The sequence below is a fragment of the Homo sapiens genome, chromosome 11 (genome assembly GCF_000001405.40).
Source record: "Homo sapiens chromosome 11, GRCh38.p14 Primary Assembly".
Lineage (NCBI taxonomy): Eukaryota > Metazoa > Chordata > Mammalia > Primates > Hominidae > Homo > Homo sapiens.
The window spans coordinates 74075355-74090595 of NC_000011.10; the positions used below are offsets into that span (position 1 = coordinate 74075355).

The following is a 15241-nucleotide window of genomic DNA, read 5'->3' on the forward strand; positions in this document are numbered from 1 at the left end:
GGGCGATATTTTGGGGGGGGGTGGGGGGAAGTAGGAGGTTAGCAGGAGACCAGAAATAAATACAACGGAGTTAATATTTGTTGAGTGTTTTTCATAAGCCAGAATCTCAGAGGAGTTAAATAAACTGCCAACATCACTCTGGCAGTAAGTGGCAGATTTAAGCCCAGAGACTTGAATTTTACTAACTTGCTGAATATTAAAATGAGATTTATAAAACAGAAGGAACTAATAGTTCCTTCTGAATCTCAAAGTTTGCTTCATTAGATTCACTTCAATTCAGGAAAATGGAGTTAACTGATTCATAGATGGCAATAATATGAAACCTTTCCTGTTTTAGATAACCAGTTTTCTTCTCAAAGCAATGTGTAAATTATTATGATTATCAAAGGAAAATAAGGGCAGGTCATTACAGGTGGGAAGACACCCAAAAGCAACACAGTTAAATCCTTATCCTCAGGAAAATGAATAAAACATGGAAGTAAGGTTGGATGGATGGCTTGACGCATTCAACAAACACATCAAATGACATGCCTTGTATAAGACCCTTGCACAAGAGGATAAAAAGCTCAGACAAGAGGGATATGGAGAAGTATGAGAGAAACGGATGATCTGAAAAGCTAAATACTACCTTTGGTAGCACTCAATAAAAAGAAGTATTTGTGCTTGAGTTCCTATACTTAGATCTATATTCAGTGTCCTAAACCTACTTTCTTCAGCAGAATGAAGCTAAAAGCCTGTCTTTATAAACTTTAGTTTAAGTGAACTTGGTTCACTTCAAGGACATTTTCTGTAGTCCCTTTGAAGGGACTCTAGGCCTGCCCAGATAAAACAGAGCACATGGCATTTGATGTGCTCAAGAGAGCCAGATTTACACCTGTTAGGTCCAGAAAGAACCAGAGAATTTGGGATGATCACCTAGATACACTCAGTTCTCCTCTAGCCTGGCCCACCCACTCAACAACAGGGTCAGAGCACAGGGCTGATAGGGCTAACAAAGGGTCATGACTCAGTTTCTTCGACTGTAGAGTGGGGGAAATAACAACTAACTGGACAGCAATGTTAAGCTGAATAAAGATCATATTTGTAAAGAATCTAGTCTGGCTATCTCTAATTCATCTTAACTACAGTCACTAGCTTTATTTTTCTAAATGCAAAGCTATACACTCCTCTTGTATTCAGGAACCATTGTGCTAGTTTTCCATAATTCTCAGGAAAAAAGTCCAAACTTCAGCTGAGAAGAGAAGGCTTTCAACACAGTACTCCTGCCTACCTCCCTAGCTTCATCTCTAATCACTTCCCAATCTATGTATCCTAACATGCAGCTGTCTGAAATTACTACAGTCCCCAAAATCTATCAAACTGCCTCATTCTCCTGTACTTTGACCCATGCTGTTCCCTTCTTTAGAATATCTCTCTTTCCCCCTTTCCTTGACTTATACCTACATCCTTTGAAACTCAGGTCAAGTATCACTTTCACTGAGATGCTATCCTTAGAGGTGTCATGTCCCTGTGTTCCCATAGCACCAAGAATACCTTTTTCATAGTTCTGATGCTTCATTGTAATTATTTACTTACTACTGTATTCTCCTATTAGACTGTAAACTCTTTAAGGTTAGGAACTAGTTCTTACTCATCTTTGAATTCCCAGGTCCAAGCATATGTAACAAGTACTAAACAAATGTTTGAAAGAAAAGCACCCAGCACAAAAATGCCACCTGCAAAATGTTACCCTTTTCTTTTCTGCTCTGTTTATTACCATATAGATTTTCTTTATGGTTCCAAGATGTGGTGACCAGAGAGGAAGAATACCCTGGTCCCCTCAGTAGGTATGCTTTTCCATATAATTAATAAACTAGCATTCTAGATGATCAGATAGGCTCTTATATATGTGATTACAAGTAGTTCCCTAAATTCATTCATTATTTCATAAGTGTTAACAATGTTCTAAGCACTATGTTAAATGCAAAAATCCGATGAGTTTGGATGCACTCTAGTGCTACGAAGTTCAGAGCCAATTCTTTGACCTATGTTGACCTCACCACAGTACTGGAATAAGGTAACACCCTTTCTTAAGCAGGCAGTGGAACTTTAAAAACAATCTCTTTAGGGATGAGTTCATGTCCTTTGCAGGGACATGGATGAAGCCTGGAAACCATCATTCTGAGCAAACAAGAACAGAAAACCAAACACCGCATGTTCTCACTCATAAGTGGGAGGTGAACAATGAGAACACATGGACACAGGGAGGGGAACATCATACACTGGGGCCTGTTAGGGGTGGGAGGCTAGAGGTGGGATAGCATTAGGAAAAATACCTAATGTAGGTGACAGGTTGATGGGTGCAGCAAACCACCATGGCACATGTATACCTATGTAATAAAACTGCACATTCTGCACATGTACCCCAGAACTTACAGTATATATATATATATATATATATATATATATATATATATATATATATATATATATATATATATATATATATATATTATCTCTTTAGTTACAAGAAGCACTACTAAATTATTATTAATCTTTCAGCATGCAATAATGGAAGGAACACTTACTAGTCTGTGACCCTGGGCAGGTAACTCAATCTCTCTGAGCCTCCTTTTTTATGAATGTAAAATGGGTATAATACCTATCTCACAGGATTGCTGGGAGGGTCAAGTAAAGTAATGTCTGACAGAGTGTCTCACCTAGTGTTTGACACAGAGCAGGTGCTCAAACTACAAGAGTTGAATCAGGCTCCTCACTTACCACTGACAGTTAGCGTCCTCGCTGACCTCTCCCCAAGTCTGGCCAGGTCCACATAGGCTGAGCCAATCCAGCTGTCTGTCTGATGGGGTCTCTCCACACTGTCATTGCCATAAGCTCGCCACACTTGGATCTCTAGCCTCTCCTCCCTGAAGTACCAAAGCAGTGATGGGCCCCTGGTGACTTCTGCTCTTTTGGATGCCTTGAAAGTGACCATAATCTGCTTTTTGTTTACAGATTCCTTAGGCTTCTTGAGAGGGGTCCAAAAGGCTTCATGATCATAGAACTTGTAGCGAAGGTAGCAATATGTATTCTTATGAATGTGGTTGTGGCCAGCAAGCAGCACACAATGGATGGGCAGCCACAGCCTTGGGGTGGAGATGGTGACAGTGGCTGGCTCCCCTTCATCCATTCTGACAAAATCTTTCAGGCTGTTCTCAAAGCTCCAGCCCAAATGCTCAGCAGCTTCCAACACCCGTTCTCTATCTCCACGATGCGTGAAGGAAATCGAAAGCTCCAGACCACCCACGATCTTCTGCATGAGCTCCAGGCCATGAGGTAGGCCCCCGTCTTCTGGTAAAATGATAGGATACCATCCTGTGATCCCTTACGGGAGAAAATAAAGATTCTCAATTATAGTCTTAAAAGTAAACAAAAAACAAGTTACTTACTCTCCACCCCATAGTGTCCTATCATCCTGGCTCAAGACAGAACAGAAAACATACCCACAGTGAGTTGGAGTTTATGTTCATCTGACCATTGAGAGGCAATGAGATTAGATGGGAAGAACAAAGGCTAGGAGTTGGAAGATCTGAGTTCTCTTTGGCTATGGCTAGAACTAGTGGTTTATTATGAACAAGCCATTAATTTCTCTCAGATTTGGTTTCCTTACCTCACAAATGGGAAAACTGATGCTAGTGCTGTCTCCCAAAGTTGTTATGATTGTCCAATGAGATAATGGTTTAGAAAGAGCTTTGAGAGAGAAGTGCTTTAAAAGTGAAATGTTTATGGTACTATGAGTGCAACAGAAAAGGCAGGGGTCAAAAGAGATCTGGGGTCTAGACCCAAGTCTTCTATCAAGGGAATCGGCACTTAGAGAACACATACCAAGGACCAGGTGCTAGATTTCAAAATCTTTCTCTATTGCCCGCCTGGGCAGTGTCACCTGTAACTTTGAACTCCTGGGCTCAAGTCATTCTCCTGCCTCAGCCTCCTGAGAATATAGGACTATATGCATGTGCTACCACGCCTGGCCATTTTCCAAAAAAAGGTTTGTGGGTTTGTTTGTTTTTTTTTGTAGAGATAGGGTCGTGTTGTGATACCCAGGCTGGTCTTGAACTCATGGCCTCAAGTGATACTTGCACCTTGGCTTCCCAAGGTTTTGAGATTACAGGAGTGAGCCACTGCACCTGGACAAAAACTACTCTTTATTAAATATCTAGTATGTGTCAGAAATTCTGCTAGCCCTTTACAGATATTATTTCATTTAATTCCTCTGATAACCCTGAGAAGTTCTGAGGACTAAATGGGAGAATAATCCTTACTTTACAGATGAGAAAGTGGAAGCTCAGATACCTGTCCAACTTATTACTGCTACCAAGTAAGAGAGCTAGAATTTGACTCCAGGTCTAGCTGGCTCTAAAGTCTACATTCCACCTAGTATAGGTTCACACTATCTTATCTGAAACCTTTAAGGCCAGATTTATTTCTGAATTTAGAATTTCTCAGGTTTTAGAAAGGTAATAGAGTACATAAACTGAATATTATATAATATTATATATCAGGGCTCACAGATAGTAAACATTTTAGGCTTTGTGGGTCATATGGTCTCTACTGCAGCTACTCAACTGGGATACTGTGGTAATAAAGTGGCCACAGACACTATGTAAATTAATGGGCACAGTGTGTTTTAATAAAAGTTTACATAAATAGGCAGTTGCCTAAGTCTCATATCAGCTGAGGTCAGATTTGGCTCCTCAATGAGTTAAAAAACTTCTATTTTCAGGGTCTTTCAGATTTTGGCATTATATAAAACATTGTGGAATGATAATATTCACAGCAATTTTCTGCGAAATGTTTTACTAAGTATATTTTACAAATGAGATTTAGGCTTATTGAGATTAATTTGCTGAAGATTACTTAAGGTTTTATGACTTTTGGACAGGTATTTAACTTTTCTGGGTGTTCTTGTTCTTAGTTTTTCTCTATGAAATGAGGAGGCTGAAAATTTTGATCTCTAAGGCTCTTTTTCGGCTTGATAGTCTAAGAGCCTAGGGCTTTGGCTCTAAGATTATGTTTCCCCACAGCTTAATGGTTCTTAACATTTTTTTGGTCACAGACCCTTTTGGCTCAAATGAAAGCTATTATGCCCCCCAAAATAAACAAATATGTGTAGACACAAAATTTCACGCCATTTCAGTGTTTAAGAACTGCACAGATTATTAGATGGTTACTTTAGCTTTGCGATTCTATAATTGAGGTTATAGGTAGGAAAAAACAAAATAGAGTGCTCACTTTAGAACAAAGAGAAATGATATATCCTTAATTATCTAAAAGGTTTATATCCAAGGGGTTAATTTTAATTCACAGAGATGTGATTTCCCAGATGGTGCTTGTTCTCTCACAAACTGTAGCTAAGTTATAGAAGGAAGGAAATTGAGGTATCCTACGTACCTAGCCCTGTGCCAAGATCTTTCACATGTAAGATTTTATTAAATGCTTTAATAATCTAGTGAAATAGATCTTACTATTTCCATTACAGATGAGGAAACCATGGATCTGAAAGATGAAGTAACTTTCTTTAGATCACAAATAGTAAGTGACAGAAGGGAGATTTGAATCCCATATCAACTTGTGCAGACTTCTCTCTGGCAGGCACATACACAGTACCTGTTTATTAGGGTAGTGCTCAAATACTAACTCATAATAAAATTGGGAGATGTGTGACAGAATTCTGCAAACTAGATTACACAATCCTAGGCAGGAAGATTGACAACAGAAGGAAAACCTACACTTACTGCACACCTACTATGTGTCAGGTACTTTATATAACCAATTTAATGAATTCCTACCTTGTAGACTTGTCAGGATTAACTGTATCCATCCCACAAGATAAGAAAATGGGGGCTCAGAGAGGTCAAATCACTTGGTCAAGGTCACCCAGTTACTAGTTAAGTAGGATGGGATCAGTATTTCCAGACTGCCTTGGTGGTTGTGTCTATTTTGGGGGGCATTTATCCCATGTCCTTATTCCTTCTTCAGTGAGAGAAAAAATAGGGAAAAATAATGAGTGAATCTGGATTTCATTTCAGGTCCTGCCACTCACCAGGTATGTGGTTTTGGCAAACCACTTAATCTCTAAGTTTTCTCATGTGTCAAATGAAAATAATAAGATCCTATATCCTTACCTGTCAGGGTTATCATGAAGCTCAAACAAGATCTGAGAAAATATTTTACAAAGTGCTACATAATGTAATGGATATTGCCATATTCTTCATCATCATCATCATCATCACCATCATCATCATCATCATCACCACCATCTTTCTTAGAGAAGGATGATAGTATAATGTCTTGAGCTTCTTTGTTTTATTATAAGAACTTCAGAACGATTAGGAGAAGACTTAAAATGTTTCAAGAAAGGGAGTTCACTCATGATTTGGCTCTCTGTTTGTCTGCTATTGGTGTATAGGAATGCTTGTGATTTTTGCACATTGATTTTGTATCCTGAGACTTTGCTGAAGTTGCTTATCAGCTTAAGGAGATTTTGGGCTGAGACGATGGGGTTTTTTTTCTAAATATATAATCATGTCATCTGCAAACAGGGACAATTTGACTTCCTCTTTTCCTAATTGAACATCCTTTATTTCTTTCTCTTGCCTGATTGCCCTGGCCAGAACTTCCAACACTATGTTGAATAGGAATGGTGAGAGAGGGCATCCCTGTCTTGTGCCAGTTTTCAAAGGGAATGCTTCCAGTTCTTGCCCATTCAGTATGATACTGGCTGTGGATATTTTTTTTTTTTTTTTTGAGACGGAGTCTCGGTCTGTCGCCCAGGCTGGAGTGCAGTGGTGCGATCTCTAAATACTCCGCCTCCCGGGTTCATGCCATTCTCCTGCCTCAGCCCCCGGAGTAGCTGGGACCACAGGCGCCTGCTACCACGCCCAGCTAATTTTCTGTATTTTTAGTAGAGATGGGGTTTCACCTTGTTAGCCAGGATGGTCTCAATCTCCTGACCTTGTGATCCGCCCACCTCGGCCTCCCAAAGTGCTGGGATTACAGGTGTGAGCCACTGTGCCCGGCTGACTGTGGGTTTATCATAAATAGCTCTTATTATTATGAGATATGTTCCATCAATAGTTTATTGAGAGTTTTTAGCATGAAGGGCTGTTGAATTTTGTCAAAGGCCTTTTCTGCATCTATTGAGATAATCGTGTGGTTTTTGTCATTGGTTCTGTTTCTGTGATGGATTATGTTTATTGATTTGCATATGTTGAACCAGCCTTGCATCCCAGGGATGAAGCCAACTTGATCGTGGTGGATAAGCTTTTTGATATGCTGCTGGATTCGCCCCCCTGTCCCTCCCCCAAAGGGAATAAAATAACTAGGAATCCAACTTACAAGGGACATGAAGGACCTCTTCAAGAAGAACTACAAACCACTGCTTAACGAAATAAAAGAGGACACAAACAAATGGAAGAACATTCCATGCTCATGGATAGGAAGAATCAATATTGTGAAAATGGCCATACTGCCGAAGGTAATTTATAGATTCAATGCCATCCCCATCAAGCTACCAATGACTTTCTTCACAGAATTGGAAAAAACTACTTTAAAGTTCATATGGAACCAAAAAAAGAGCCCGCATTGCCAAGACAATCCTAAGCAAAAAGAACAAAGCTGGAGGCATCACGCTACCTGACTTCAAACTATACTACAAGGCTACGGTAACCAAAACAGCATGGTACTGGTACCAAAACAGATATATTGACCAATAGACAGAACAGAGGCCTCAGAAATAACACCACACATCTACAACCATCTGATCTTTGAGAAACCTGACAAAAACAAGAAATGGGGAAAGGATTCCCTATTTAATAAATAGTGCTGGGAAAACTGGCTAGCCATATGTAGAAAGCTGAAACTGGATCCCTTCCTTACACCTTATACAAAAATTAATTCAAGATGGATTAAAGATTTAAATGTTAGACCTGAAACCATAAAAACCCTAGAAGAAAACATAGGCAATACCATTCAGGACGTAGGCATGGGCAAGGACTTCATGACTAAAACAACAAAAGCAATGGCAACAAAAGCCAAAATTGACAAATGGTATCTAATTAAACTAAAGAGCTTCTGCACAGCAAAAGAACCTACCATTAGAGTGAACAGGCAACCTACAGAATGGAAGAAAATTTTTGCAATCTACCCATCTGACAAAGGGCTAATATCCAGAATCTATAAATAACTTAAACAAACTTACAAGAAAAAAACAAATAACCTCATCAAAAAGTGGGCAAAGGATATGAACAGACACTTCTCAAAAGAAGACATTTATGCAGCCAACAGACACATGAAAAAATGCTCATCATCACTGGTCACTAGAGAAATGCAAATCAAAACCACAATGAGATACCATCTCACACCAATTAGAATGGAGATCATTAAAAAGTCAGGAAACAACAGGTGCTGGAGAGGATGTGGAGAAATAGGAACGCTTTTACACTGTTGGTGGGAGTGTAAACTAGTTCAGCCACTGTGGAAGACAGTGTGGCGATTCCTCAAGGATCTAGAAATAGAATTACCATTTGACCCAGCCATCCCATGACTGGGTATATACCCAAAGGATTATAAATCATGCTACTATAAAGACACATGCATATGTATGTTTATTGCGGCACTATTCACAATAGCAAAGACTTGGAACCAACCCAAATATCCATCAATGACAGACTGGATTAAGAAAATGTGGCACATATACACCATGGAATACTATGCAGCCATAGAAAGGGATGAGTTCATGTCCTTTGTAGGGACATGGATGCAGCTGGAAACCATCATTCTGAGCAAACTATCACAAGGACAGAAAACTAGACACCGCATGTTCTTACTCATAGGTGGGAACTGAACAATGAGAACACTTGGACACACGGCGGGGAACATTACACCCCAGGGCCTGTCATGGGGTGGAGGGCAGGGGGAGGGATAGCATTAGGAGAAATACCTAATGTAAATGACAAGTTAATGGGTGCCATGGCACACGTATCCCTATGTAACAAACCTGCATGTTGTGCACATGTACCCTAGAACTTAAAGTATAATAAAAAAAAAAAAAAGAAAAAGAAAAAAGAAACGGGGTTTCACCATGTTAGCCAGGCTGGTCTCGAACTCCTGACCTCAGGTGATCTGCCCGCCTTGGCTTCCCAAAGTGCTGGGATTACAGGCGTGAGCCACCATGCGTGGTCTGTGTTTATCCTTTCTTCAGGACTTCTCCATCTATAAAATCAACCTCTTCTGCTCAGCTCATTGGAACACATTTTATTTTATGAAATGAAGTATTCCCGATTGCAAATAAAATTAATTAAGATCTTTAAACTAAAAAAAAAAAAGTTTCAAAAAACATTTGAGGTATTGGAGAGAGTTCAGAAGCATGTGTTAAGGGGTTGTGTTTTCTTTTGAATATCTTACATGAGAGACAGAGAAGATTACCTCTTGTAGGGAAGTGAAAGGGAAAGGGTGGCATCAGAAAGTGATAATCCAGGATCCTTACCAGATCTCTTGATCAGCAGCTCTTTTGTTGGAACTTTTACTACTCCAAGCAGATACTCTTTGCATGACTCAATACTGATTATATCACTTGCTGTTAAATCAAGCAAAAAAGAAAAATTATTTGATGGTCTATTCATCAAGGGGCTAGTTTACAGTATATCCACACAACCCTCCCCTTATATGCACTAAATCTTAGTTTTGTAAAATGCATTAGAGATTATCTTGCTCTTGCTCATGCCCCAATCAAAGCCTGAATGCCTTCATTTTTTTTTTTTTTTGGCAGGGTCTCACTCTCTCATCCAGGCTGGAATGCAGTGGTGCAATCATAACTCACTGCACCTTGAACTCTTGGGCTCAAGTGATCCTCCCACTTCGGCCTCCCAAAGTGCTGGGATTATAGGTTTGGGCCACTGTGCCCAGCCCATTTTTTAAATTAAATGTTTTGAAAAAAATTCAGGTATACAGAAAAGTTGCAAAAATATAATAATGAACTCCTACACACCCTTCATCTCGATACACCCATTAACACTGACACATTTGCTTTATTTCTCTCTACACTATCTTTCTCTTACATACTTAGTACATATCCTTATTTTTTGCTATATCTTTCAGAAATAAGTTGCAGAGATTATGACTCCTCACCTTTAAATACTGCAGTATGTATCTCCTAGGAAGGGCTATACTATTCACAATGCAGCCTCTTTTAATTTTGATTGTGACAAGTCATATGGTGCTCACCTGACTTGGTATTTTCATGATAGACAGCAAAAATAACTTCTGCAAACTCCAACAACTCTGCTAGGAAACAGGCCTCTCCACTACAGTGCTGAGTCACCAAGTTACATGTGAACTCAACGTGATGGGAGAACTCAGGGCAGAAAGAACAGGCCACAGGGTGGGTTCGGCGCTGTTCTCCCTGGGGCAGGAAGGAGAGATGAGTGGTGACAGAGGCATTGACCCCGACTGTGGCACTAAACTGTAGAGCGGGTTCCCGTTCAGCCAAAGCCCTGTAGAGGAGAAGGGTGGAAATGAGAAGATACCATGGTAACATTAGAAATCAGCTTGATTTTCTAGAAAATAACTTCATTACTTCTATGAGACCACCAAGAATAAAACCAACTATATGCTTTCTATCTAGGCTTTTGGCAGTGCCACAATGGGCTTTCTTAGTAATCTAGATATCATGGCATATGTATATGGGAGTGGAGGGGATAACATCTGCCCATCAGAGTGACTCTGAGGATGACCCACTGTCCTGTCAATGCTCTTAAGTCAAGGACCACAGGAACCAACTCTAGTTGAACAAGCTGGGTTTACTGCTCATTGCAATTAAGGAAAATATACACCATGGGGAACCATAGTACATCTCAGTGAGAAGTATCAGAAAGGGCTTATCAGCATTGGACTTGTGTTAGCTGACTTGAGTGAGGGCTTAAAGGAGCAGGGCTTTGCTCTGGATTGATTTTCTTAAAGAATCTTATCTAGACGGAGGGAATACTAGAGTAAAGCTAAAGCTATAACTGGTGAAGCAGCAGCTGTCACTCATTTTAGCCAGACAGGAGGATGTTGGCTGTTTCTATGGTTTGCATAAGTGACCTCGTTTTGGTCTGTGCTTAGACATGATGATGGAGCTGTCTTGTTTTTGTCTCACTTCATCATAGTCATACAGTGATCTTGTCTGATGCTGATGTTCTGTAAGATTACTTATGGTCAACAAGAAAACACCAAAGCCTACCTATGAATTTTGGCCCAATTCCCAGAAGTCTGGGGCTGCTTTTATCTTTCTCAGCACAGATGTTCCATGATGTATAAATGGAATCTACACGCCTTTAACGACACTCATAAAGAGTAGTCAAGTCATTTGGGTGTAGCTACAGTATGGGACAAACCCCCTTTCCCTAAACTCCCCAAGGCGATAGAGTTGACATCTAGGCAAAGAAATCACCTATTTTTGAAGCATTTCTTGATATCCCTAAAGTAGACTTCTGGGTTCCTTCCTGTTAAAACCTTACTGTACTTCATAGAGAGTAGTAATTTGGAGTTATACAGATCTGGGTTTGAATGCTGGCTCCACCATTTACTTACCATGTGACTCTGGATAAGTTATTCAACCTCCTTTAAGTCTCAGTTTCCTCTTCACTAAGATGAGGTTAACATAAGATAGTATATAAATACTAAAGATGTATATTATATATTTGGATGCTTACTGCAATTTCATTTCTAAGAAAAAAAGAAAAACTTTTTCCTTTTCATTATCGTTAATGATCATTAATAGATGATTTATCATTAACAGAAGATTAATGTGCATCCATACAATAGTATACCATGAAGTATATATTATGCCTAGGAAAAATGGGGTGAAAATAAATTGAATGCTAGCAGTAGCTTAAAAAATGAGGATAGGCTGGGTGCGGTGGCTCGCGCCTGTAATCCCAGCACTTTGGGAGGCTGAGGTGGACGGATCACCTGAGGTCAAGAGTTTGAGACCAGCCTGCCCAACATGACGAAACCCCATCTCTACTAAAAATACAAAAACTTAGCCGGGCGTGGTGGCGGGCACCTGTAATCCCAGCTACTCAGAGGCTGAGTCAGGAGAATCGCTTGAACCCAGGAGGCGGAGGTTGCAGTGAGCTGAGATCGCACCAGTGCACTCTAGCCAGGGCGACAAGAGTGAAACTCCATCTCGAAAAAAAAAAAATGAGGATAAAATACTCATAGGGTGTTGTAAAGATAACATTAGATAATATATACAAAAGAAAGAACTTGCATATGGACAGTGAAGGACTCTTAATAGGGAACTTTCAGAGATGGCAGTGAGATGGCAGAAAGGCTTGGGCCCCAAGCTGGTTTGAATTCACTCATTCAGTCGTTATTTGCTGGGTATCTGCTCTGTGTGTCATGCCTTGGGCTCAGCTGGATATATAGTAGTGAAGTAGCCTCAATTCCTTAGCTTCACGGCATTTAAAGACTACTGGCTATGTCCAAGAAAGGTTCTATTCACTCTGAGTTAAAGATCAGGTGAGTTAGAAGAAGCAAGTCAGTAAGAAGTGCCTACTTTACATAGGCACCAACAATGTATTTTCAGGAAGACCACTGGCAGGTAAGATGGAGGCTGGTGTTTCTTGATGAGAGAAGACTAATTTACAGCACCTGCTATCTAGATGCCAGCGTAAGGATTCAAGAGGGGTAAGTTTAGAACATCAAGAATTCTTTTCAGTAAGAGGCAATGCAAAATTTACTTCTCTGATTTTACTGGCAAATAGAGGTCACAATTATCTATACAAGTGGAAGTAATCATAAAAATCTGTATATTTGTACAATAGTTTGTAGTTTATAAAATGACTTCATATTTGTTAATTTTTACACTGATCCCTACAAAATCAGGGTAGGTATTTAAAATTTCCATTTCAGATGAAGAAACCGAAGCTCATGGAAGTAAAGAAATCAGCCCCAAATCATACACAGCTAGTAGGAGATGGGGGTGAGACTAGAAGCTATAGTGTCTGATTTCTAGAACAGTTCTGTGTCCATTATACCATGCATTGTCTCACATCCTGTGAACCTCTCCCAACCTACCAGAAGAGTGTTGTGTCAGAACTGGCCTGGCTTCTTGTTCTCCCTCCTTGAATATATGACACAGACCAAATGGGAGATTTAGAACAAACTGCCTGTCATCCAATCTGACTTTCCTCATGAGTCCTCAGACAGAGCAACTACTGAGTTTCCGACTTGTTATCTGCCCTCTCTGAGATCTACTGAGTATCTAAATTCTGAGTCCTTCTCTGCCAATTAAATGCTAGTTAATTTAATGCCATATTGAAGAATTCTGATGTTGGCTGGATCTGAGACTGAGGAGGTACTCCAAAAACACAAGTTTCATGCCTCCCTGCCTTTGCACATGTTCTTCTCTTTCACCAAAATAATTTTCACCCCTTTTGGGTATCTTGATAACTACTATTCTTCTTTTAAGACTCAGATTTATTTTGAAGGGGCTTGAATGCCAAGCTAAGGAAGTTGGACCTTATTATATGGACCAATGATCCCTAAAGAAGGCTGTATACAACTTAGGAGGTTCATAGGATAAACTATATTGGTTATCTCATATATTAAAGTTTTTCTATTCCATGGTATATCTTAGAATATATTTTGTATATGAGTATAGCAGTACATGAAGATGATTTATACATGAGTAAATATGTACATATTTAAAGGGTATGCTACCTTTTTTATTAATAGGAATGCATAATTAAAATTATGAGATCACTGCTATCAACAATGGGAAATCATCAAGTTTTAATGTAAGGAAGTGGTATGATTATAAAACTGCTTTACTGTCTCAGTGATGGGATCTGTACCCTAAACCTTAGCATCATGCGACATACCCATATAACAAATCTGCACATGTACCCCTGTATCTAAAATAAAAAGTTGAAATTAAACAAACAAACAAACGAAACACACCAAAAACCAAAACAAACATAAAAACAAAACCCAAAACCAACCTGTCTTGACATCACCTTCACTAACACTAAGATGTTCTTGGGCAGTAACTGAAAGAGTCTACGTGGAGAATTTAGTGAGGAACAATATTAACTACACTGAGTATCTTAGCTCTTCAGCATCAGATCTCACACAATAATGCAATTTCTTATTTGGAGACCATAAAGTTATAGGTGAACAGTTTGACCCTCAGCTACAACAGGGAAAAAGTTAGGGAGCACTTGTCTGTTTCTTTGTTCAAAGGGTGTCAGTCTGAAGCAGGAGCCTGATCTAGTTCTCTTTCTTACTGGGTGCCTGTTATATGCTAGAACTATGCTAGGAGGTTAGAAGGATGGAGAGGAGCTCAGGCAGTATCTCTGACTAGAGGAACTCACAGCCTAGTGGGAGAAAAATGCATGTATGCCAATAATTGAAACAGAATATGTGCTACAACCAAGGTGTTAACAAAGGAAAAACCACCAACTCTGCCTACACGTACAAAGAAATAAAGAGAGACTGTAAAGATGTTGCAAAGTCTTGAAGGAAAATAGGAGTTTGTTAAGTAGACAAAAGGAAGAAGAATATTCAAGGCAGAGAGAAGTATGAGTGAAGACCTGAAGGAGGTAAGGGAAAGGGCTGTGCTGTTTTTCTAGAGAAATAGTGTTCCAGGCAGAGAAAACAGCAAGACAAAGGCCTTGAGAGGAAAATATGCTTGGTGTGTTCAGAAGCAACATGGGGGTTGTGGCTGGAGTGGAGTAAGCAGAGGGCAGACTAGCAGGAGATGAGATCACAAAGATAGATGGGGGGTGGGGCACGTGGTTTAGATCATATGGGGTCTCATAGCCATTTTAAGGGCTCTGGTTTTTACTCTGAATAAGATCAAACATAGGCCAGGTGCACTGGCTCACGCCTGTAATCCCAGCACTTTGGGAGGCTGAGGCGGGTGGATCACTTGAGGTCAGGAGTTCGAGATCAGCCTGACCAACACAGTAATGAGGATCCCGCCACTGCACTCTAGCCTGGGCGACAAAGCTAGACTTAAGTGTTCATAGGTTCACTGGCTACTATGTTGAGAACAGACTAAAGGGGTGCAAGCTGGAAAAATAGGAGGTAGTACTCAGAGACTGAAAGGAATGAAGTGAGATTACACAGGAGTTGCAGTGATTGGGTATGGCATGGTTTGATGGTGTAGGGTATGGCCATAAGACTAAGTTGTTAAGAAAGGCACAGGATAAAA

General features: G+C 40.0%; 1 protein-coding gene across 2 annotated transcripts in view; it reads right to left on the reverse strand.

The window, feature by feature from the left end:
* C2CD3 (C2 domain containing 3 centriole elongation regulator) overlaps window positions 1–15241 on the reverse strand; it is a 158285-nt gene that overhangs the window by 62637 nt on the left and 80407 nt on the right. For both annotated transcript variants that reach the window (NM_001286577.2, NM_015531.6), the window contains exons 21-23: window positions 10264–10532; window positions 9527–9616; window positions 2761–3363 (exon numbers count right to left, since the gene is read on the reverse strand). In NM_001286577.2, coding sequence (NP_001273506.1) covers window positions 2761–3363; window positions 9527–9616; window positions 10264–10532 — 962 coding nt within the window. The remainder of the gene's footprint in view (window positions 1–2760; window positions 3364–9526; window positions 9617–10263; window positions 10533–15241) is intronic.